This window comes from Homo sapiens, chromosome 1, assembly GCF_000001405.40.
Source record: "Homo sapiens chromosome 1, GRCh38.p14 Primary Assembly".
Classification (NCBI taxonomy): Eukaryota; Metazoa; Chordata; class Mammalia; order Primates; family Hominidae; genus Homo; species Homo sapiens.
In genome coordinates this window covers 90,922,587-90,947,838 of record NC_000001.11, presented here as the reverse complement: position 1 = coordinate 90,947,838, position 25,252 = coordinate 90,922,587, and the positions used below count along the sequence as shown (strand labels likewise).

Below are 25,252 nucleotides of genomic sequence, written 5' to 3'. Positions count from 1 at the left end.
ATGTAAGTATGTATAAGTAGGCTAAGCTACAATGTTCAATAGTTTAGATGTATTAAATGCATTTTCAACATGATGTTTTCCATTTATCATGGGTTTATTGGGAGGTAACCCCATTATATGTAAAGGAGCATCTGTATATGCTTTGTATTCCTAGGACTTTGAACACTCTCACTTTTCTTGAATTTATTAGATATGATAGTTTAGTATTTATATAATATTTCAAAACTGAACATAAACAGCAGACCCATCATAGGTTAAAGAATACCAGAAGGCTCAAAGTAAAATGACAATTTATGGCATAATACTTTCTGTGGAGGGCAAAGTTGACACACTGCCCCTGGAGTATGGGATTGACATACTTAGGTACATTGGTTTCTTTGAAAGTTTCACAGTTAATAATTTGAACAGATATGTTTTATAGTGAACTGACCCATGTTACACAAATGTGGTCAAAATATTTGATCAGTTACATATATATCACTCATTTCAAATGCTTAAATGCTTAAATTTGTCTTATTGGAGCCACGTGCATATATGTCTATTACGATGTAAGCTGAGACCATCACTTATTCTAATTACATGAAAGCATAAACAACACAACAGTCATTCTGTGCTAACTATGACTTAGTACTCTCCTTTGGTTGCAGCTGTAATTTATTGCCTTCTTCCAGTTGCAGAATTCTTCATTAGGAAATTAATGTTTGATTAGTGAACATCCTTTTGATTTTCTACTGTTGATTCTTATTGTTACATAATTTTGCCATGTCTTTAAAGTTATGTCTTTGTAGGGCCTCCCTGCCCTCCTTGCCTTCATCCACACAGTTACCTGCTTCCGTTTACCACATGGGAGCTTCTTTAGATGTGTTAGATTATATTTAGTATTTACTATACTTTGCAGTAAGAATGATCTTGAGTTATTAGGTGTTTATGGTCTGGTACCTGACTTTGTAACATCTGCCTTCCTGTTAACAAGTGAGGATGGTACATGGCATCAGGAACAAGCTGTTCAACAGGTTCAGTGTAATTTGTTTGCTTTTTTTTAATGGCAATCTATATATCAAACTCAGTGCCTTTTTTGTTTTGTTTTGTGTTTTGGTATTGCCAAGGAAAAAAAAATCTCTGGCTGTAACATTGAGTTTTCATGATACAGTTAGCTCTGTGGCAGTGTGTTGGTCATTTAATGTCATATTTTCATTGTTCAACAATCAATTTATTGACAGATCATAAGTTAACTAAAGGATTATTTCAGGTAATTGTGAATTTAAAGAATACTTTTAAGGCTCAGTAGTGTAATTCTTCAGTTTTTTGCTCATTATTTCAAATAATGTTAAATGTTAATTATGTAATAACTAAGTACTAAACATTTGTAGTACATATTAGAAGGGACCTTAGAAATCATCTTATTCAATCCTCAACTCCATATTCCTGTCTGTAATGTTCTTGACAAGTAAGCAGTCTAACCTTCTGAACCATTTTATTATTTGGCTTGGTTTTAAAGTCAGTCTCATGCTGGACACCCTTACAAGTGTTCTGTATTTTTTTAGTGTTTCTTCTCAATGTGACATCCAGAATAAGTTATTACCTGGATGATACATTCTGTCTTCTCTTGAAGTGTGCACTAGGTGAGATTTAGGTATATATGTTTGTACATTGTGTATGGTATATATAGGTTTAAATGCCACAATAATTTTAAATATAATATTTCAGTTAATTAAGATCTGTTTTACAGTTAGACTGACACTTGTGAATTGTTTTCTCTTCTTGACCCAATCTCATACATTACTAACTGAAGTTGTCATGTGTTCACAAGGATAATTTAAATGAACATAGGGTTTGTGAAAACCTGACAGATCCTAACTATAATTCAGCTAGTGGGCAGCATTATAATTTATTTATAGCTGTGTAATATAGCAATTAATGAACTAATATACAATGAGGGCAAATTGTACTATATTTTGCATGAAATTATACAACACAACAAAGGTTGGCATTATGTAGTTAAGTACCCACAAAATGTTAACCTACTTGCAATAAATACAATTAATAATGTACATAAAAGAATGAAATTAAGCTAATTTTCTATCAGAAAAGAATTATTCGTGAACAGAAAGTGGACAGCATAGATTTGATGACAGAAAGGTTGTATCTAATCTGAATTACTGAGTGACCTAGGAAGCTTGCTCAGAGGGATTACAGAATAATTATGTTAATATGCAATTATCACCTCATTTCTTCTGTAGTAACCTCAAGATGTAGTGTAGTGAGGGTGTTATAGCAAGTGCTGATAGTTTGCAAAAATACTGATGTTTGAGATTTCTGAGACAATAAGTCTAGCTTGAGGCATATAAGTGATGATCTGTCATCTTGAAGACAGATCTGACCTTTGTACAATTTTTTTAGTGCTCACAGTATATAACTAGAGGCAGTTATAGCTGTAGAACTCATTATGATTTTCTAGAAATTGAAATATATTTTATGTAGATTTAAAGTTCTGTTTGCAGCTTTTTAAAAAGGTGTGTGAATTTTTTAGACTTTTAAAAACCAGTTAAAAGAAAAATTCTATGGTTATATGATTATATGGGGAAGATTTAGTAATGGTGTCTAAACAGTGTTTAAAAATCTTAATTGATATATAAGGAGTCCAAACATCAGTTTATTTATCTTAATTTATTAGCTTCTGTTTTTTAAACTTAATGAATAATGCCCACCTTCAAATACGTTCCTACTTTGTTATAGTAACCTAAACTGGTATTGATGTCTCTGTTATATATACATTTGACTATACAAAGGTAGTTGAAAAACTATTTGAGATGGTGTAAAATTAACTCAAGTCAAATGCTTTCTTGCCTAGATGCCACATAACCCAACATGAATGTAGTAAAATAATTTTTGATGATGTTAAAATTCTGTATCAATTATTCAGTGCAACAGATTTTGATGATCCATGGTTCTGCATTGTATCTCAGCACAACAGCTATGAGTCTTGAGTACTGTTACTAAGAAGAAGTATATTTGGAGCATTGTATAATTAGAATATATTCTGAACATTTTAATTGTTCCTAAAATAAGTACCCACAAAACGTTAATCTACTTGTAGTAAATGCAGTTAATAATGTACATAAAAGAACAAAATTAAGCTAATTTTCTCTCAGTAAAGAATTACTCATGAACAGAAAATGGACAGTATAGATTTGATGACAGGAAGGTTGTATCTAATCAGAATTACCGAGTGACCTAGAAAGCTTCCTAAGTCAACTTTTGTAACATATTTTCAAACTGATGCAGAAGGTAACATCTTTTATTTTTGAGTAGAGATAATTAATAATTTAGGGGTAAGTAAGCCATATTTTATTATGTGGATGTGAAGGAAAACTTTCATTGTTAAAGACTTCATTTTATATTTTAACAATATTTAATCGGATTTTTTTTTGCTAGATGTGTTTTGTAGATAAAATATCTGTTATGCACATATATTTTTTCTATGTTTTTGAACAAAACAGGTTGATATCTTCAGAATGTGACCTTATGAAAAGCTCTTATAAAGCCATTCCGGTAATGAGGATGCAGTCTCCAAGCTGACATGATGTTCTCATAGTTTGTCACCCTGCTGTTCAGGGGGTACCAATGAAGTTGCTTTAAATGGGAAGCGTCTGTTCCATCTCTAAACCTCTAACACCAGAACAGATGGGTGGAACATAGAACATGGAAGGTTTTACCTCTGAGGTGGTAACAGTGAAGCCACTCATTAACACTGAATTTACCACTTCGTTAGCAACATTGCTTCCTGTTGAGAAAAACTAATATAGGCTTTCAAATTGACTTAGCATATATTTGTCCACCTCTGTGATTATAATAAGTGGGAACGGAAAGGAAAGTAACTGTCTTTCAAGCTAGTTTTTTGTCGTTCGTTTCAGATTTATGAGATTGTTGCTATTGAAGCGTTTTATGTTTTCTACCTAATTTAATGAGAAATATCAGGAATGAATGGTAGTGTAGCATTAAGGCTTGCTTTTCTTTCCCTTGACATTTGCACACCCTTTCCTAACACATGTTTATGTGCTGCCCATTTTTAACTTCTGTGTATGTGATGTAGAGACTCCTGCTGGGTGATGCATTAGCACCATTTTGGAGTGATATCATTAAATGTGATCTTATTGGAAGTCTATTTTTATTACCACAGAAGTTTGCCAATCTCAAAACAGAATTCTAAAACCTACGAGGGGTGGAAAAAATGATTGTTGGTATAAAAAACAATGTCAAAGATACTGGTAATAGGTATTTGTTGTATTAAATAACATTTTATGGAAAGAATAAGATCAGATTATAAGTGCTTGTTCTAAGTTATAAAATAAGAAAAATATAAGAACAATTTTATTATTTTATTGTTTTTTATTTTTTGAGACGGAGTCTCACTCTGTTGCACAGGCTGGAGTGCAATGGCGCAATCTTGGCTCACTGCAAGCTCTGTCTCCCGGGTACACGCCATTCTCCTGCCTCAGCCTCTCGAGTAGCTGGGACTACAGGCACCCACCACCACGCCTGGCTAATTTTTTTTATTTTTAGTAGAGACGGGGTATCACCATGTTAGCCAGGATGGTGTCAATCTCCTGATCTTGTAATCCACCCGCCTCGGCCTCCCAAAGTGCTGGGATTACAGGAGTGAGCCACCGCGCCCAGCCTAAGAACAATTTTATTATTCTTGAATTAGATTTAATGTTTTACAAAGCATGAAATTGGTACCCTTAAAGGATAGTAGAAATATTGAACTATATTGAACATGTTTTGATTTCTAAATGTTAGATTGTAAGGTCCTGTTGCCCTAAAATAGTATTACTTGTTATGCAAATTAAAAATACTGCAAAAGAAAAATATACAGGCTTCATTCTTTATCTGAGAGCAGGAACCTAACTTGTCTTGTTTACCATTATATCTGGAATACAGGAACAATGCATGGCACTACTAAGTGCTTAGGAAATATTTGGAGAATAACTGCAAAAAAGGAGAAGAAATATGGAAGCTTATGATGCCAGTACTTCAATTAGTTAATACCTGGGGTTGCCAAATAGCAGGTTCTTTAAATTGTACATGAAAATTACTGGATATTTTGAGGACCTTATTATAATTACTGAGTTAATAAATCAGAACCTGATGGAACTTGTGTTTGAATGGGGTATCCAAATTTCATAGGAACAAAACTGTTTTTCTTCTGTACACTTTAGGAACTTTTACTTTGATTTTTGAAATTGTGTTTTTATTAATCCAATACTTATTCAGTATTTTATTCAACAAATATTGCCTGAGCACCTATGGCAAGTGATGTACTAGGTTCTAGAGATATGATAGTGACTAGATTACATTCCCAGCCCTCAAAGAGCTGACATTCTTTGAAGAAGGCAGATACTTCCAATGTGGCCATTTCTAAGAGCAGGAAAAAAACAGGTTGCAAGGGAACTTTTCATAGTGGGGGTAGGCATTACAGTCATGGTGTGAATGGACCCCAAACATTCAGAAATACTGTTTCCTTTAAAAATATTGTACTTTTTTCTCATAATGATTAAATATCTTATCAAAAATGCCTAGAAAAGTTTTATCTACATTTTATATGAAATAAATTTAAAACATATGTTTATGCTATTCTATTGTAAAATGTGTTAGGCCATTGCACTAGACCACCAGATCATAAGTGGGATAACTGCTTTTAGAGAATGCCTAGAATTTGAGGCCCCACATATGAAAGTTTGACATAAACCTTCATTAATTTTAACTTTAGTAAAGTTAAAATTCGCTTTACTAAAATTTAGTTAACTTTACTAAAGTTAAAATTATAGTTAAGGTTAATTTGAATAAGGAATGAACAAAACTATGAATAAAGCATTTTTACAATTGATAGAATGTTGGGAGAACATTAAGCATCTTGAGAGCAAAGCAGTCTTTTAAAAAGGACTATTTCATACATAAAACATTGATGTTGATAGCAAATATGTTCATTCAATAAAGTTATTTACTGAATGGTGTTTTGTTACCTTCAGGAATGAACTTATAAGTGACAAATCTTTTACTTCTCTGCAATATTTGATAATTTATATTGTTCTCTAGAATAGAGTGACTACCTCTGATAAACCTACTTAAGTGAAAGAATTTTCTTTGTATTAGCAATCTCCACGTGAGGTTTAAAATTTTTTCAGTCTGTAGCATATTTATATTGTTTTTGAGTCTGTGTATACATGTGTATCTGTGTGTATGCTGCTTTTCCCTAGTGTGTTTGTGTATGTTGCTTTTCCCTAGACATTTTGTATACATGACGTATTGGACTGTTGTTGTTGCCTAGCATGAAGAACAATATTAACCTTTGAGGTGCTTTTTAAATATTTCAATATGTTTGTGTTCTTTCATTCTTGGAAAATTATTAGAATCTCAATATAAAGAGTAGAAAATTAAACTAATAAAAATATGTACTTTCAACTCTCCATACATTCTAATAGTATTTTTTCTTTCATGCAAATCTAAATTTTTTTTTTCCATTTTCTAGACTAAATGTGTTAAATGGGCTTGCCAACAATATGGATGATTTGAAGATAAACACCGATATTACTGGTGCTAAAGAAGAACTCCTAGATGACAACAATTTTATCTCAGACAAAGAGAGCGGAGTTCATAAGCCAAAAGATTGTCAAACATCATTTCAGAAAAATAATACGTTGACTCTGCCTGAAGAACTGTCAAAGGACAAATCTGAAAACGCCTTAAGTGGAGGCCAGTCTAGTCTATTTATACATGCTGGTGCTCCTACTGTTTCTAGTGAAAACTTTATCTTGCCTAAAGGAGCTGCTGTTAATGGACCAGTTTCACACTCCTCCTTAACTAAGACTTCCAATATGAATAAAGGCAGTGTTTCATTAACCACTGGACAGCCTGTGGATCAGCCAACAACAGAATCTTGTTCAACTTTGAAGGTAGCAGCTGATCTTCAGCTGTCTACACCACAGAAAGCAAGTCAACACCAAGTTTTATTTTTGTTATCAGATGTAGCACATGCTAAGAATCCCACCCATTCCAATAAAAAACTACCTACCTCTGCTTCAGTTGGTTGTGACATTCAGAATTCAGTAGGGAGTAATATAAAGTCAGATGGCACTTTAATAAATCAAGTAGAGGTGGGTGAGGATGGTGAAGATTTATTGGTGAAAGATGATTGTGTCAATACAGTAACGGGAATTTCCTCAGGTACAGATGGATTTAGGTCAGAAAATGATACAAACTGGGATCCCCAAAAAGAGTTCATTCAATTTCTTATGACTAATGAGGAAACAGTAGATAAAGCTCCACCTCATTCTAAAATAGGTCTAGAAAAAAAAAGAAAGCGAAAAATGGATGTAAGCAAGATAACTCGTTATACCGAGGATTGCTTTAGTGATTCTAATTGTGTACCCAATAAATCAAAAATGCAAGAAGTAGACTTTCTAGAACAAAATGAAGAGCTACAAGCAGTAGACTCACAGAAATATGCATTATCAAAAGTGAAGCCTGAATCAACTGATGAAGACTTAGAATCTGTGGATGCCTTCCAACATCTAATTTATAACCCAGATAAGTGTGGAGAAGAGAGTTCACCTGTTCATACTAGCACTTTTCTTTCAAATACCTTAAAAAAGAAATGTGAAGAGAGTGATTCTGAGTCACCTGCTACTTTCAGTACCGAAGAGCCATCATTCTACCCCTGTACAAAGTGCAATGTGAATTTTAGGGAGAAGAAGCACCTCCACAGGCATATGATGTATCATTTAGATGGGAATAGTCACTTTCGCCATCTTAATGTCCCAAGGCCATATGCTTGTAGAGAATGTGGACGGACATTTCGAGATCGCAATTCACTTCTAAAACATATGATTATTCACCAGGAGAGAAGACAGAAGTTGATGGAGGAAATTCGTGAATTGAAAGAACTTCAGGATGAAGGAAGAAGTGCACGATTACAGTGTCCTCAGTGTGTGTTTGGTACCAATTGCCCTAAAACATTTGTGCAACATGCTAAAACCCATGAAAAAGATAAAAGGTACTACTGCTGTGAAGAGTGTAACTTCATGGCAGTGACAGAAAATGAATTGGAATGCCATCGAGGCATTGCACATGGGGCAGTGGTAAAATGCCCTATGGTCACTTCTGATATTGCCCAGAGAAAAACACAAAAAAAGACTTTCATGAAAGACTCTGTAGTAGGATCATCCAAAAAATCAGCTACCTACATATGTAAGATGTGTCCTTTTACTACTTCAGCCAAAAGTGTTTTAAAAAAGCACACGGAGTACTTGCATTCATCATCATGTGTTGATTCATTTGGTAGTCCTCTTGGACTTGATAAAAGAAAAAATGACATCCTTGAAGAACCTGTAGATAGTGATAGCACTAAAACATTAACTAAACAACAGTCAACCACATTTCCAAAGAACTCTGCTTTAAAACAAGATGTGAAGCGAACATTTGGATCAACCTCACAATCAAGTAGTTTTTCAAAAATTCATAAGCGGCCACACAGAATACAGAAAGCTCGGAAAAGCATTGCCCAATCAGGTGTAAACATGTGCAATCAAAACAGCTCTCCTCATAAGAATGTTACAATTAAAAGCAGCGTTGACCAAAAACCTAAGTATTTCCATCAAGCAGCAAAAGAAAAGTCTAATGCCAAGGCAAATAGCCACTATTTGTATAGACACAAATATGAAAACTATAGGATGATCAAAAAATCAGGTGAATCATATCCTGTGCATTTCAAAAAAGAAGAAGCTAGTTCATTAAATTCTTTACACCTGTTTTCATCATCAAGTAATTCTCACAACAATTTTATTTCAGACCCTCATAAGCCTGACGCCAAAAGGCCTGAAAGCTTCAAAGATCACAGACGTGTAGCTGTAAAGAGAGTAATTAAGGAATCTAAGAAGGAAAGTTCTGTTGGAGGGGAAGACTTGGATAGCTATCCAGATTTTTTGCATAAAATGACTGTTGTCGTTTTGCAAAAACTTAATTCTGCTGAAAAGAAAGATAGTTATGAAACAGAAGATGAAAGTTCCTGGGATAATGTTGAGTTAGGAGACTACACTACACAGGCCATAGAAGATGAAACCTATAGTGATATTAATCAAGAGCATGTAAATTTATTCCCTTTATTTAAGAGCAAAGTGGAAGGTCAGGAGCCTGGAGAAAATGCTACTCTTAGTTATGACCAAAACGATGGCTTTTATTTTGAATACTATGAAGATACTGGAAGTAACAACTTTTTGCATGAGATACATGATCCTCAGCATTTAGAAACTGCAGATGCTTCATTGTCAAAGCATAGTTCTGTTTTTCATTGGACTGATTTGTCTCTTGAGAAGAAATCGTGTCCTTACTGCCCAGCAACATTTGAAACAGGTGTTGGGTTATCAAATCATGTCAGGGGGCATCTTCACAGAGCAGGATTAAGCTATGAAGCCCGTCATGTTGTATCACCAGAACAAATAGCCACAAGTGACAAAATGCAGCATTTCAAAAGAACTGGCACAGGAACACCTGTTAAACGAGTTAGAAAAGGTAAGTTCTCCATGGGGATGATTTGGGCTGATAGGTCTGTGTTCTAATTCTGAAGATTTAAAAGTTTTTTTTGAATTTAGTCTTTATTAGAATCATAATTTTATGTTTCAGAATTAACTCATTTTAGGGTGGTCAGTTTATATAAGAAAGTCTGATATTACTCTTAAAAATTTTTTTCTAGCTATAGAGAAGTCTGAAACCACTTCTGAACACACTTGTCAGCTCTGTGGTGGTTGGTTTGATACTAAAATTGGATTATCAAATCATGTTAGAGGCCACTTGAAAAGACTTGGAAAGACGAAATGGGATGCTCACAAATCTCCAATCTGTGTTCTGAATGAGATGATGCAAAATGAAGAAAAATATGAAAAAATCTTAAAGGCATTGAACAGTCGTCGTATTATTCCCAGACCATTTGTAGCTCAAAAACTTGCATCAAGTGATGACTTTATATCTCAAAATGTTATACCTCTTGAAGCATACCGTAATGGCCTAAAGACTGAAGCTCTGTCAGTGTCTGCATCAGAAGAAGAAGGGCTGAATTTCTTAAATGAATATGATGAAACAAAACCAGAACTGCCCAGTGGGAAAAAGAATCAGTCTCTTACACTCATAGAACTTCTTAAAAATAAAAGGATGGGAGAAGAAAGGAATTCTGCTATTTCTCCTCAAAAGATCCATAATCAGACAGCAAGAAAGAGATTCGTTCAGAAATGCGTTCTTCCATTAAATGAGGATAGTCCGTTGATGTATCAGCCACAAAAAATGGACTTGACTATGCACTCAGGTAAGAGGACGTTTATGACTATGCTATACACAGTTTAAATGCAGTTCAATTATGCCTTCTTTAATGGAATCTATGTGGAAAATACTTTCTCACAATCTTCCTGTTTAAGCTGCTTTTTTTTTTTACAGAGCACAGATTGGTTATTCTACTGTCATTTCTGTATAACTCATCAATTGATGCTCATTAGCACTGAGTTCTCTGTGCCTCTTTTCTTGGTCTGAATGTAAGGTGAGAACAAAAGCAGAAGAAAACCACACACACACACAATAAAAACAACAAACAAAAAGCTGATCTGTAAAAATAAAACTTGCTCTGGCTGGAGGATGGTTGTGGATGGGAGGTTGATGTTCAAAAGCATAGCATTATTGAAAAGGCATACCTCTGTCATATTTTTGCCAGTTCTCCAAGGTGATCATGTTTTCAAGATTTAGCTGTTGGTTTTTCCACTGCTTAGGTAAAACAAAACAGACTCTTAAAGCTGAATGGATTGGTGTCTGTTGTGATTAACCCAAAGAAACATCTCCCTCTCCAATTCCTCATTGTATTGCGGAATAGTTTGGTTTTGGAGAACAGTTGTGAACATAAAACATATTTGTTTGGGGTTTTAGGTTTTAAGATAGTGCTCTAATGGAACAGGACAGATGATTTAGCTTAGTGCTGGTGCACCAATAGTTTTTTCCTTTTGAAAGGAATATTTTGTATGTATTGGCAAATAATGTGGCAGATAAAGTAGCCAAACTTTATTCAGTATTGCCAAGTGTGGTTTATACTTTTAGACTAGAAAAATTTTAAGTGTTTTTTCTAGATTTCTTTTTGAAGGTTAATGTTGAAGGTTTATGTAAATGGTCTCATGATTAGAGCTCTAAGTTGAATGTGTCAGAGGTAATAGTTAATGGATTAATAACGACTAACATTACTGTAAAGTAATGTTGTTTATTTGCTTTGGGGCAGACATTGTGATATCCCGAATAGTTGTAATGCAGTTTTGATTTAAGGAAAGATAACTTTGTATTGTAAGTGGTCTGGAAAGCAGTTTATCTTGTATGAGCTTCTGTTTAATCCGGCTTTTTCTTTCGAATAAAGAGTCTCTGAAAGTCAATAGCTTTCAATATTTTTTCAGAAGGGTAAAACGCAGGGAAGATGTGTTAGCTGTGTTGACCAAGGGGTAGTATACTTCAGAGATGGAAAGCATATTTGTGGCTATCACAGTAATGCTGAAGAAACCAGTTGAAATGTGTTGGGGGAGTGAGGATTGTCTGAGAAGTTAGGAGTTTCTTATTGTTTGAACATGTTTTTCCTGTGATGACTAAGATGTTAGCTTGTTGATCATTTATTTAGCACAAAGATTTTAGCAAAAAACTTTAAATCATTAACTTTCATTATTGATTGCGCATTCAGAGTAATGAACATAAAATACCCTAAATAAAATGTTGTGTCTAACAGCTGTTCAGTGGTGTGTTTTACCACCTTTTCTCCCAGCCTTCATCAGAAAGCCTAATTTAGTATTGAGACTTTTACGGTTTTGTGGGTAAAACACTTTAATTACCACTTTGTCAACTAGACTTTTTAATTCTTTTTATTGGTAATGTTGTAAGCTTTGAAACTTCTCAACAGAACCGTGTTGTTCAAATCACAGGATTGTATTGTAGTAGGTTTAAGAAATAATCTGCGTAACACAGAAATCTGCAAGAAAGTAATAATAGGTGTATATCCAGAGGAGCTCAAAGGTTCAAGTCACTCCTCGTCTACCTTTCCAAAGAGCATGAGTTGACTCTAAATACTAACTACAAACTAATAACAGTTAACTTAATTTCCCCTCCTTATTTTAAGTTAACCTATTTCATTGAACGTTTTGAAAACCATCTTTATTGTGGTGCTTTTCTACACTCTTTAAGCTAAGAAAATTTCACTTTTTGAAGTGAGAACTGGATTATAGTTTTCTTTTGAATGATAGGTATGCCTGTGAAGCTTAGAACATGTGTGCATTGCAATACGACGTTTACAAGTGCTGTTAGCCTGTCCAACCACTTACGCGCTTATGCACGAAAGAAGAGTGCTGGACTTTTGACTGGTACAGGTATGTTTGAACAGATATCACAGCAAGTCTGTTTGATACAATACACTTTTTTTTTCCCCACCAGACTGGTGTTAATTCAGATCATATTTATAGCTTTCTTTGGTAAGCTGCATTTGAGTCTGAATACCCATTGAATTTCAGCAACTTGTAAACTGTTAGATGTAATTCTAAGCAAGTTAATCTTTTTCTTTTGGCTCTTATTGACTTAATTTGGGGGAAAAAAAATTAACCCAAGAGGTGTGGAACTTTGAGTCTACCTTAATCCCATTTATTTTTTAGAATACTATTTTTGATTTTTAAATTGATTTTAGATTCCAGTAAAACACCTCTCTTTATAGTTCTAGTCGGGCTCAGTGGTGTGCCCCTATAGTCCCAGCTACTCATGAGGCTGGCAGGAGGATCACTTGAGCTCAAGAGTTAGCGGCTATAATGTGCTATGATTGTGCCTGTGAATAGTCACTGCACTCCAGCCTGGGCAACATAGCATAAAAATATTGTAGTTCTAGCTTGGGGAAATCCTTTATTAGAAAAGGAAATTATAGGGAAATTTCAAAATGTAGACTTGATTAGGAAACTAAGCAAACTAATGAATTTTCATTAGTCTATAGATTAGATCTTTGAAGGGGTGAGCCTTAATAATGGCTTGTGTTGACAAGCGAATAGATTTTTCTTTTAATACTTCTTAAATATATTAAGGATTAATAAATTTAGCTATGCACATAAGTGTTAACATGCACATTTCTGTGTTATTTTTGGTTGGTTAGCCCAACCTTGCAGATACCTCTTAATACTGCTCATCTGTGAAAATTTTATTAGCTTACTTATATGTAATACGCTTCTTATAACCTACAAAATGCTTTGCACTTTCATTTGTAGTCTTTTAAGCTACCCTGCTTCAGCAAATCTCATTTCCCTCACATCTTAAAATATACCCTCTTTTTGACATAGATCTACATAAATTCTTTTGCCTAAAATTCTTTCCAATCATTTTATTTCTCTTGCTCTTTTTTAGATCACTGCCTCCTGCTTTCTTCTAGTTGTTTTCCCAGCTTTTTTGTTCTTCCTCATGTCCTAGAACTTAGATCCAATATGTTCTTGCTTTCAAAAAACCACTTATATTTATACTAGTGTCTTTCTTCTGCTTCTTTGCATTCTTCCTTAACTTGATATACAAATGACCAGGGATGAATGTTGACAATTTATATTAAAAAGAGAGGAGTGGGGTGAGTTTTAGTCTACTGGATTAGGCCTCCTACTCTGAGATTATAATTTTTATATACCCTCACCTTTATCAGGCTTGGCAAGTGATTGCAGACATTAGAGGTGGGGAACAATAAAAATAAGAGACTATACAAGTAGGAAATCATTATTGTTACCATACTTGCTAACTTTTATTGAACATTTACTATGTGTCAGGCACTATGCTATGCAATTTACATGCATAACATTTAATCTTTACAACAGCCATACAAGTTGTAGGTACTGGAATTCTCTTAACGTTTTATAGGAAACTAGGACTTAAAGAACTTAATTTGCTCAAACTTACACAGTTAATAAGTAGCAAGGTTGTAATTCAAATCAGGGCTATCTTACCTAATCTTTGTTTTTAATCACTATTCTCTACCTTACACAGGCGGTCTATTTTTGAATTTCTTATTTTTAAAATAAGAAATTGAAATAAAAATAAGCAATGGAAAATTCTAAAATGAAGGTGGGTTTGTTCATTTATTTATTTATTTATTTTGAGACGGAGTCTCGCTCTGTCACCCAGATTGGAGTGCAGTGGCGCGATCTCGGCTCACTGCAACCTCCACCTCCCTGGTTCAAGCAATTCCCCTGCCTCAGCCTCCCGAGTAGCTGGGATTACAGACTCATGCCATCATGCCTGGCAAATTTTTTTGTATTTTTAGTAGAGATGGGGTTTTACCATGTTGGACAGGCTGGTCTCGAACTCCTGACCTCAGGCAGTCTGCCCGCCTTAGCCTCCCAAAGTGCTGGGATTACAGCCGAGAGCCACCGCACCCAGCCTGAAGGTGGGTTTAAAATGGGGACTATTCTGGTGAAGACTGAATAAATAAGAGTCTAATTAAAAAGAGCAGAGATCCAAGAAGTGCTTAGGCCTAAATTAGACTTTAGAGGAGTTAATGTTCCATTCTGATTATTCAAGCAGATTATGCAAATATCCAATAAGGCAAGATATCTCCAGTCCAGATTTTATTAGTCCATTAAAAAAATGCTTTTACTTCATCTGAAAATTCTGCAAAACACAGGATTAATTACTTATAAATAACTGGTAGTAAATCTCCATTTACCAAGAATGCACTTATGAAGATTATCTAAAAAATCTTCATTATCAGAGAGAAAAGTAATGTAGGATGACTGGGAATATGTTTAGGTCCTGAAGAATAAAAGAGGGTGTTATTTTAAAAATATGATTAAGTACTACCAAAATATTAGAAGTACTAGGAAATAGAAAGCGTGTGTTTGGCAGTCCTAGGCAAAGAAAAGGAAAATGAGAAACTGAAGAAAGCCTAGGGTCTTATTTTCCACACCCAGTAGCCACTTTTGAGAAACTTTAAAAACTAATGCTTCTTTTTCTTGGAAATTCTGAAACATTTTTTCCCTCATTAAAAAAAATCTTCTTGATCAGTAGAGCTATACAGATGTCTTTGCTGCTTATTCATGCCAACTAAGAAGTTTTTTTTCAAGCTTTATTAACTTTTCTGTTTTCCAGATAGAGAATTCTGTATTGTATTTACAAACTCCACATACTGATTATCCCCCATATCAATATCACTGTTATAAAGCAGTGTTCCTAAAAACCTATGGCCCTAGAAGGTTCCACTTGGTTATTATAAGTGATTCATTAATTCATATGAGTAACAGGCATCATTTTTCAAGAACACATGATCTTTTAATGAATAAAATGCAAATTCATTTTTATAAAATCTTACCTTAGTATATCACAAAATTGGAACAATGTAAAGGGAAAGTAGATAGGAATAAAGCCTCCCTAACCATGTCCAGTATGTGTATTTCTAGTTTAAGCAGTCTTAATTCATGTAGATTTTAAGTTGTGTGGTCCACTCTTGAATACAAAGCTTAGATACCCTCAGACTAAATGGTAAAGGCCTGCTTTTGGTTACCTGTGATAGAATAAACTTTCAAGCCTTCTTAGAAGCCACAGCTCCTGGTCTTTTCTGTGGGAACTGGTGACCTTTTGAGGGAAGAAAAATATTTCTTCTAACTTATAATCTCTTCAAGTATCCTGAATACACTGAAAAGGATATCCCTCTTCTTCCCAAAATACCTGTTTACTGGTAACTTAAATACTTCTAATGTGATGGTTCTCAATCTTTACTGGGGTCACCGACATCTTTGAGAATTTCATGAAAGCTGTGGGCCCCATCCCAGAAACATGCACTTATTTGTTCTCAGATAAAAATTTTTGTGTGTATAGACTTTGCGTATCTCCTGAAGGCTATCATCAATTTGTCTGATGGCAAATTGAGAAAGGAGAGATGCCAGAATAAAAGGAAAGTAGAAACAGAACTAGGAATCAGAAGCCTTAAGAAGTTCTTTTTTTTTTAAGAGCAGAAGATGCTTAAAATGCAAGAATTGCATAATAGCAAAACTAATTGTGGGGTCATTATCTTCCCTAATATTTGTAAAAGGAACCGATGGGGGAAATAGGAAAGATTTAGAATTGAAGATTTGGAAGAGGTGGGCAGACTTGGGAGAGTTAAATTGTCATAAAAGAATAATTTCACAGATTAAAGTTTTGCCCAGAACTGTCCCAGTTTATCTTCTGTTGGGTAGGTTCAAATAAATTGTTTAATAATTTTTCTGTGTCTTCACTTGTAGATAATTTATGAAGCTGTTTTACTTCCTTTCCCCGATCAATCTTTATCAAAATAGACTAGAATCAAAGGGTTTATTTTATATCCTATATTGTAAATTTAAGGCAGACTTCTTATTCAAGAGTTTATTCTAGTTATTTATGGAATGCAGTAATGGTAGGGGTTTTTTTTTTTTTTGAGATTTTGTTCTCTTTAATGTTTTACATGCTCATACAGATTTTTTTCTGGTTAATTTTCCATACAGTTTAATGAGAACATTATATAGTTTTCATTAAATATTGAAATTTTATAATGTAGCTTATATTAATTACTTCTGGACTTTTTATTTTACTGATTAGCTTTTTTTGTGCCTAATGTTTTAATTAAATGATGTATTTTTATGCTAGCCATATTAAGAACATAGTTCTATTAAGTTATTAATGGAGTGACTATACATACTGGTTTACCTTGTTGTCACACCTAAGTACTAGTGCCTCTTTTACTCTCATAAGTGTCCTGGATTGAATGATAAATTAATCATCCTGGTTATTAAAATTGCTAAAGCATTTAAAATTAAGGTAAAGCATATTCTATCAACCTAATCTGCAATCAGGAAAAAAAATATATTTTGAGGTCAAAATAAGAGTGAATTTCAACAGGTAGGGAAAGGGAAATACAGAGTAGAGAGAATGTTGTTAAAGGAAGTAGATCTGTCAGATGAATGCCACAATGCTTTTCTATGGTAGATAGCATGTTGTTATCTTTTGTAAAGAAGAAACAATGATGGTAGCAGTCAGCATTTTAATTGAGACTTTATTTTATATCTTGACCACATGTACAAACTTACATTAATACAAACACACAATTCCTTGTGTACTCACCTAAATGTACTTTAATATTTTCTTTTTTATTATATTCTTTGTTGTGAAAAATTAATGCTGGTCATGAGCCAGTAAATTGATTTGCTACCCACTTAAGAAGTCACTATCATAGATTGAAGACACTGCCCTAACTGCCTCTTTCTCTTAGGGGTTGGTACTGACCAATGGTAGTAGTATCTTAGATGTCATAACTCTTCTGTGGCAGCAGGTGAATTTTCTATACTCATTCTATCCACATTTTTCTCTCTAGATCACTTTTGTAAATCAAATGCTAACCTCTGGGACTTAAAGTAATTGGAAATTTCTAGTTACTCATTTAAAATTAATGCAAGAAAAATATTTTTATATTTGGGAGGGGCTTCATTTCATTATCTTCAGAACAATTTTGTGTGTGTGTGTGTGAGACGGAGTTTCACTCTAGTTGCCCAGGCTGGAGTGCAATGGTGCAGTCTCGGCTCACTGCAACCTCTGCCTCCCAGGTTCAAGTGATTCTCCTGGCTCAGCCTCCTGAGTAGCTGGGATTACAGGCACACGCCATCACGCCCGGCTAATTTTGTATTTTTAGTAGAGATGGGGTTTCTCCATGTTGGTCAGGCTGGTCTCGAACTCCTGACTTTAGGTGATCCACCCGCCTGGGCTTCCCAAAGTGCTGGGATTACAGGCGTGAGCCACTGCACCCAGCCCAGAACACTTTCTTGATACGTTTTGGAAGTAAAGCCCAATTGTTGCTATTCTACAACAAATGACTTATCCATCATAATTATTTGACTTTTCTGATGAGGTCAATACCACTAGTGCAATATATTAACGTTTTTAAAAAATCAAGTCAGTGTTTTATTTTTCATACCATTTACTTTTAAGTGTAATCGTAGTAGGTTTCTTTTGCCTGTTTTCAGCTTTAATGATATAATTGGCCACACAGGACTGTAACAAGTACTAATGAACATATAGCACAGTATCAAGTGCTGAATGGGTTTGTAAGCCACTAGAAAAGTCATTCTTATGTTGTGGAAAGTGCTATGGGAGCACTTTCTGATGTGATAGAAAAAATAGTATTGTGAAAGCTTCCCAATGTGCATTAAATTATTTGTTCATTCATGAGTGTCACTGTAGTGTCTTTTAAAAATAATATAGTATTGCATGTTTGAAAAATTGCATGTTTTCATAGTGGTTCATTCAGACTGAAAGAGTGTAAGTAGAAAATTTTGATCTTCTTATTAAGATTAAACTCCAAATGAGCAAACTTGCTTCTGCTTAAAGCAAACTCCTTGACAATTCTTCCAGACTGGGCTGAGGAGGGTATGTGAAAAGTATGAGACATGTCTCTGCTGTCAGAGAAATTAGGAAAGGATTGTTGACAACATACATAAAACTATCAAAAATTGAAAACTATGCAAGATAGTATACAACTAAATGGCATATTGGCTTTAAGTGTTGTAGGAGTTCAGGTTGATTATTTTAGTCTAAGCCTCCTTTTGAGGGCAGCTGGGAATTGAGATTCCTTTTTTTTCTGATGCCCTTACTGTTTGTCTCATTGAATTAGAGCTTGTAAAAAACAGAAAAAATAAATAAATAAAAGTAGTTCATGCTGGTATGCTTCTTGTGACTTTTTAAATGCAAGAGAACAACAAAACCAGCAGCCATACAAAATTTTATTCATTCAACAAAAGTTTGAGTTCTTGTACCAAGACTGTTCATCGCTGAGCCAGTAAAGATACTGCACTCCAGCTGCATAAACATAATATAACCCAGTGGGAAAAGATCAAGTATGCCATTACAGAAGGGTTTATATGGTTTCAGCCAGACCCTGAAGTTGAAGGATGCAGTAGAGTTTTAGGAAGACGAGATGAAGTGTAGAATATTTCAGGCAGAGAAGAACATAGTGTGGACACAAAGGGATGAAATTTGGACTTCAAGTGTCAGGAGTGGAACTTGGAGTTCAAGTGTCAGAAGATTTGGTTACAGATGTTTGGTAAAATTGTAGTGCCAGAAAGGTGGGGTTGGTGCTTTGAATGCTTGGTAAAAAAAATTAGGAAGTCATTAAAGGATGTTTTAAAAATAAGGAGGCCGGGCGTGGTGGCTCACACTTGTAATCCCATTACTTTGGGAGGCTGAGGCAGGCACATCACCTGAGGTCAGGAGCGTGAGACCATCATGGTCAACATGGTGAAACCCTGCCTCTACTAAAAAAAAATACAAAGAACTAGCCAGGCGTGGTGGTATGCGCCTGTAATCCCAGCTATTCAGGAGGCTGAGGCAGGAGGATTGCATGAACCCAGAAGCTGGAGGTTGCAGTGAGCCGAGATTGTGCCATTGCATTCCAGCCTGGGCAACAAGAGCAAAACTCCTCAAAAAAAAAAAAAAAAAATCAGCCCAGTGTGGTGGTGCGCGCCTGTAATCTGAGCTACTCAGGAGGCTGAGGCAGGAGAATTGCTTGAACCTGGGAGGTGCAGGTTGCAGTGAGCCAAGATTGCGCCACTGCACTCCAGCCTGGGCGACAGAGTGAGACTCCGTCTCATAAATAAATACAAAAGGAAAATAGGCCAGGTGCCGTGGCTAACACCTGTAATCCCAAGCACTTTGGGAGGCCGAGGCAGGCGGATCACCTGAGGTCAGGAGTTTGAGACCAGCCTGGCCAACATGGTGAAACTCCGTCTCTACTAAAAAATACGAAAAAGTAGCCAGGCGTGGTGGTGGGCGCCTGTAATCCCAGCTACTCAGGAGGCTGAGGCAGGAGAATCGCTTAAACCTGAGAGGTGGAGATTGCAGTGAGCTGAGATCATGCTGTTGCACTCCAGCCTGGGCAACAGAGCAAGACTCCATCTCCAAAGAAGGAAGGAAGGAAGGAAAGAAGGAAGTGAAGGAGGGAGGAAGAGAGGGAGGGCAGAGAGAGAGAGAAGAAAAATAAGGGAATGGTATGGTTAAACTTATATTTTAAAAAGCCTTTCATGAGACAGAGAAAAGATGGGTCTTTATATTTCTTAGCTATAACTTATTTCTATAGTATTGTTCTTCATTAAGAGCATATATGTGTATACATTTATCTGCACAGTAACGTATCATTTATAAGTGATTAGCAAGGTAACGAATTATCTGAGTTGAGTAAATTCTCTAGGTGACTGAAGAATAGTCCTTTAACTGTTAATAACTTGATTTTTCCTAACCATTTTGGTGGTTATTGCTCCAAAATGTTGTTCTTATTTTTGCCTTGAGTAGCTTGGATATAATTTAATCGAGTATTTTGGGTAACCCTTATAGATACTCTACTAATTGTTTTATTATTCCAGCAAGAATTAGGCTATTTCTCCACCATACAAAAAAATGATCGGCTGATTTTTTCACTAATTCAACAAGCACTTTTTTCACCTCCAACTGTGCTAAGTATGCAGAGATACATTGGATCTTACAATACAGTAGAAGCACATATATGCATAACTGTAATACAAGACAAATTGTTAAGTGCCATTGGAGAGGTATGCGTGAAATACTGTGGAATTTCAGAGAAAGAGGAAGACACTTTCAGCTAGACTAGGAACTCCCAAGGCTTTTGGAATTAGCATTTGAATGGACCCTGATGTATAGCTAACTGAAATGGAAATGGGGGTCGGGGTGGGGAAGAGAAATGCCTGAAAGAGGGAGCAAGGTGGAACAATGTGGGAAGTTTATAGGAAATACTAGGAAGTAGGAGGTAAGGGAATTGAGTTGGACTGGTAAAGTGAGTCAGATAGATGACATAGAACGCTAGTCTAAGATGTTGGAATTAACTTTGTAGTGGGGAACTATTTGAATGCAGAATTTGTGTAATGCTTTTGAAATTGCTTTTTAAATAAAGGATTTGGCAGAGAGGAGGAAAAATTGCAGGGTAGATCATTTTAAGAGTCCTGTACCAGGTCAGTGACATTAAGAATGTAAAGGAGGGGTACTAGATGTATGGGTAATATTATGGAAATAAAATAAGCAGGATATGGTAGATTAGAGTTAAGAGATGACTCAAGATTTTAAATCTGAGTGGGAGGAGGATGGTTATACCAGTACAGTTAATCAATCTGCTACCATGCTGTCTGGTAGAAGGGCAGGCTTCATTACTTCTCTGTCATTTACTAGCAACACTTCAACATCCAGCTATCCACTATAACAAAGTATCACCTTAAAAGCAGGAGATCTACAAATTTGGAAAAGAGAGCTTTATTTCTTAGGAAGCTTGAAGCCTGCAGGCTTGGAAGTGTATCCTCAGACAGAGACCAAAAGCAAGCCCTTCAAAGGAGGAAGGGTGAGACAGGAAGTTATGTTGAATGGGTTGGCTAAGTATACATATTCAACAGATTATAGGAGGAGCTATGAATATTCATGAGGGGGTGCACACAAGCTTAGTGTGCACACTCCATGTTACATACATCCCATGTTCACTTTGAGTTGGAGACCTAACATTTAATCATAGTAAAATTAAGGTTTACATGTCAAAAGGTGAAACAGAGTTCATAGGCATCCTATGTGCAGCCTTCATGGACCAGCTAGAACCAGTTGGTGATCTCTTATCAGTAAGGAATGCTGGTCAGTTCAAAACCACAAAAACAGAGTGGAGTCTGGCTTCTGAGTTAGGCAATTGGTTGATATCAGTGGGGAGCAAGTCTTTTGAAAGGGTTGGTTTCTTTTTAACTCTTAGGAAGGAAAGTTTTATGGTGGTTAGTGAGGGAGGGGACCTAACGAGACTTGCTTTACCTCCTGTCCCATCATGGCTGGGAACTCAATTTTTAAGGTTTCTCTGGGGTCACCTTGGCAAAGAGGAGGGTGTCCATTCAGTCTGCTGTAGAACTTAGAATTTTATTTTTATTTCTCAAAAGCAAATAACCACACTTGTTGAATCAGTAAGTTTGTTTTTAGGAGAATATAGCCTAAGAGTTACACCATTGTAGCATAAAATACTTAAATTTTATGATGCTTGTTTTTTGCTGCTCATTGGTTTCATAAGGAAGGTGATCTATTTTGACTGACATCTTGTTTTTCATGCAAGTCTTATCTAGTTTCCTAGCATTACTATTGGTTTAATTATTTACTAAGTTTCTGGGTTTTGCTTTTTTTTTTTTAATATATGTTTGGGAATCTTAAATATATCTAATTATATCTTCAGTTATAATGTTTGTGTTTGCTATGATTTTTATTCTCTAAGCCTTAAATAATGAGATTCAGAAAATATCATTAGGTATAGAGTTTATTCAAGCCCAAAGCTTGAGGATGGCCACCTGGGAGCATAGGTTCAAGTTGCCCTGGATATACACTGTGATTAGCAGCAGTTACAAGTGAATTTTTAAGAAAAAAAGCGGTTTCTATGTTTATTTACCAAGAATTTACATTAAGATAACGTAAGCTATCGATTGGCTATACATTGTTCTTTGTATCACAGATTTCAGGAACATAAAAATAATGGGTGAGGCATCAGGTCAGGAACATAATGAATGCCTAGTTTAAACAATTGCCCTCCCCCCAGTGGGGGGCATGAGAGTCAAGTGACTGAAGTCCCCTACTCCAGTCTTTCTGGGCCTGGTAAATCTTGCATACTGTGCATAGCTGACTGCTGAGCTGCTTTCCTTCTCTCTAACATGAATTTCTTGAATGCGGTTTGTAATCTGGATTAAGATAGAATTAGCCCTTATAATATAACAAGGCATGTGGTTGGCCAGAGCTAAATTTTAGGTAATGTTTTAATTGACTTTACGGAAATAATAAAATAACACTCAGACTTTCTCTATTGGAGGTTAGGGCAAAAGGATGGCTTATTGGTAGGTAGTTCCTCACTTACTGCAGAAGTAGAAAAAAGTAGAAAAGTAGAATTTACTTTTTTTTTTGGTATGCCTAGGGTTTGAAGAATGAGGTTAATTCTTGTTATCCAAGGTTTATGTATTTAATTGTAGCTTAGCTGGAAGTTGGCTAAAACAGAAAATATCTGATCAATACCATGTTTGGTTATAGTTTGAATTTTGGCTGGAATTACACGTGTAAGGCTCTTGAGAACTATAAAAAGCCAAATCAGATCCATTGCGACCATGGATTTGTGCCATTTAGATTTACTAATATATTGTTGTGAGTCCTATCTAATTTAAGGTAAATATGATTGTATTGAAAATAATTTAAAGGAAATTTTAAAGTTTGGTGGTTTTCTTAGCTAATTTTATGATCAAGAACAATTTAATTATTGTTACTACATCTGAAATGATATATCAGAAATACGGAGATTTTAGAGGGCAGGGACTGTGATTATTTTGTTTGTAATTCTCAACAAAAGTGACTTAAAGCAGATTGTCATTATGTACTTTAATGTTTATTCTAATTTCAGATGTGTCTTACAAAAGTGGTTGATGTTGATGGCTAATGCCTATTTTGCTTAATAAAACGGCATACAAGTCCAACTTACTTGAAAAGAAATTTTTAAATGTTATTTTCTTACCTGTCACCACAAAGAAGTAATACGTTTGCTATCCTATCAACTCAGCTGACCAGTAAGCCACTTGTAGTTGTGATATTGTTAGCTTTTTTAGCTTTGGGTAAGCTGATAAAACTAGCCTGCCTCTAATTCCTGTTTATAAAAATGTGTGATGAAGTATCATATTTATGTCCAGCTTTTCCCTTTATTTACATAGAGAATACTTGCTCAAAATACCCTTTAGTAATCATCCCCTCTACTTTGAAATAGTGGAGTCTTCTACAAATTGTACTTTTTCTTTAACTGAATCCATTCAAGTTTAAATAAAAGGCTACTTCCATTTCCTTTAACTCTTTCTCTGAACTATAAGGCTGTTGACTATACTTAATTTAACTTCCTACTTTGTAGGACAAACTCAAGCAACCAGTCCTTGTGGACTAATAATTGTAAAACCACAAACCTAATTCTTAAAGCAAAGGAAATCTGCTTTCCAGGTATTTTGCATTTCATCCTCTTCCAGGTAAATTATTAAAACAAGCAGGAACTAGTTAACTTTGCCACTGATTGCTGTGTGATTGAGTTACTTATCTTTTTTTCAGTCATTGGGAGTGGAAACTCTAAAAATTAATGAAAGTTATTTAGGGTACTAAAAAATTACCCAATTTTAGAGTGAAAATATCAAGGGAAAATGTTGATGAAAATAAATACTTTTGAGGTGACCAAATGTGTATCTTTATACTTCATGCCTGACTGTAAGGGAAACATTGCTTTTTATAATGTAAACTACTCATCTTGGGAATAATGAAGTGGTATAGCTAGGAGCAAAGAACTGATGTTGATAGGAGTAGGGGAGTCCTTTTCAATTTTAATACTGTGTAGAGTGGGGATTTAACAATTTTTCTCAGCCTTTTTTTTTCCTTTTTTGAATGGGCCGAGAGATTGAGGGGTGGAACTGAATGCAGCCTTTCTCATTTATGATAGTAGATACTCAGGTCCCAGGGCTGCTATTTGCAAAGTCCAATGCAAAATGAGTTATGTGGTAGACCTCGTTCAAAAATTAATAGTTTCAAGGCTGCAACAGTAGAGCATTAAACTGAGTGTGGGGCTCTCCCTATGTGACTGTGTAAGTTGGACACCCATGAAGCTGGTCTCCTAGGCACTTTGTACAGAAAGAAAGATAAAAGCTGAATAAATGAAACTTTGGCTTCTCAGCAATTGGCTTTCTCTACCCCATTCCTGTTTTACACAAGCTAGCATGTTTTTGTTGTTGTTGTTGTTTTCTAAAAAAAGGCCCTGATTCTTTTTCATTTGAGGCCAAAGGAAAGAAAATTATATTTGCAGTCTTTTTATATGCTTGGGGCTTATGAACCTTGAAGGATTAGTGACAACAGTTATAATTGAATTTATTACTAACACAGGAACAGAAAACCAATACTGAATGTTTTCACTTATAAGTAGGGGCTAAACAACGAGAACACATGGACACAAAGAAGGGAGCAACAGACTGGGGCCTACCTTAAGGGTGGAGGGTAGGAGGAGGGAGATAATAAAAAAAACTACCTATCAGGTACTGTGCTTATTGCCTGGGTGATGAAATAGTCTGTACACCAACTCCCGTGACAATTTACCTATATAACAAACCTGCACGTGTACCCCTGAAGTTAAAATAAAGGTTTAAAAAAA

The 25,252-nt window shown here is 35.3% G+C and overlaps 1 protein-coding gene across 21 annotated transcripts in view, besides 4 other annotated features; it reads left to right on the top strand.

The window, feature by feature from the left end:
* The window catches only part of ZNF644 (zinc finger protein 644), a 106,732-nt gene that overhangs the window by 74,197 nt on the left and 7,283 nt on the right, over positions 1 to 25,252 (top strand). For 8 of the 21 annotated variants that reach the window (XM_011542258.4, XM_005271257.6, NM_001437612.1 and 5 more), the window contains 3 exons: positions 6,530 to 9,567; positions 9,749 to 10,354; positions 12,309 to 12,431. The exons of 5 other annotated variants lie outside the window; for them this stretch is intronic. In XM_011542258.4, coding sequence (XP_011540560.1) covers positions 6,530 to 9,567; positions 9,749 to 10,354; positions 12,309 to 12,431 — 3,767 coding nt within the window. The remainder of the gene's footprint in view (positions 1 to 6,529; positions 9,568 to 9,748; positions 10,355 to 12,308; positions 12,432 to 25,252) is intronic. 8 more of the 21 variants (NM_201269.3, XM_017002488.3, NM_001437611.1 and 5 more) reach the window with 1 other exon arrangement.
* Positions 19,123 to 19,728: an enhancer, noted in NCBI's record as "H3K27ac hESC enhancer chr1:91393668-91394273 (GRCh37/hg19 assembly coordinates)". NCBI's record gives its function as "activates a minimal SCP1, AML or CMV promoter by ChIP-STARR-seq in naive H9 embryonic stem cells {active_cell/tissue: H9 hESC(naive)}" and the evidence as "EXISTENCE:reporter gene assay evidence [ECO:0000049][PMID:30033119]".
* Positions 19,729 to 20,335: an enhancer, noted in NCBI's record as "H3K27ac hESC enhancer chr1:91393061-91393667 (GRCh37/hg19 assembly coordinates)". NCBI's record gives its function as "activates a minimal SCP1, AML or CMV promoter by ChIP-STARR-seq in naive H9 embryonic stem cells {active_cell/tissue: H9 hESC(naive)}" and the evidence as "EXISTENCE:reporter gene assay evidence [ECO:0000049][PMID:30033119]".
* Positions 20,437 to 21,049: an enhancer, noted in NCBI's record as "OCT4-NANOG-H3K27ac hESC enhancer chr1:91392347-91392959 (GRCh37/hg19 assembly coordinates)". NCBI's record gives its function as "activates a minimal SCP1, AML or CMV promoter by ChIP-STARR-seq in naive and primed H9 embryonic stem cells {active_cell/tissue: H9 hESC(naive and primed)}" and the evidence as "EXISTENCE:reporter gene assay evidence [ECO:0000049][PMID:30033119]".
* Positions 22,279 to 22,893: an enhancer, noted in NCBI's record as "OCT4-NANOG-H3K27ac-H3K4me1 hESC enhancer chr1:91390503-91391117 (GRCh37/hg19 assembly coordinates)". NCBI's record gives its function as "activates a minimal SCP1, AML or CMV promoter by ChIP-STARR-seq in naive H9 embryonic stem cells {active_cell/tissue: H9 hESC(naive)}" and the evidence as "EXISTENCE:reporter gene assay evidence [ECO:0000049][PMID:30033119]".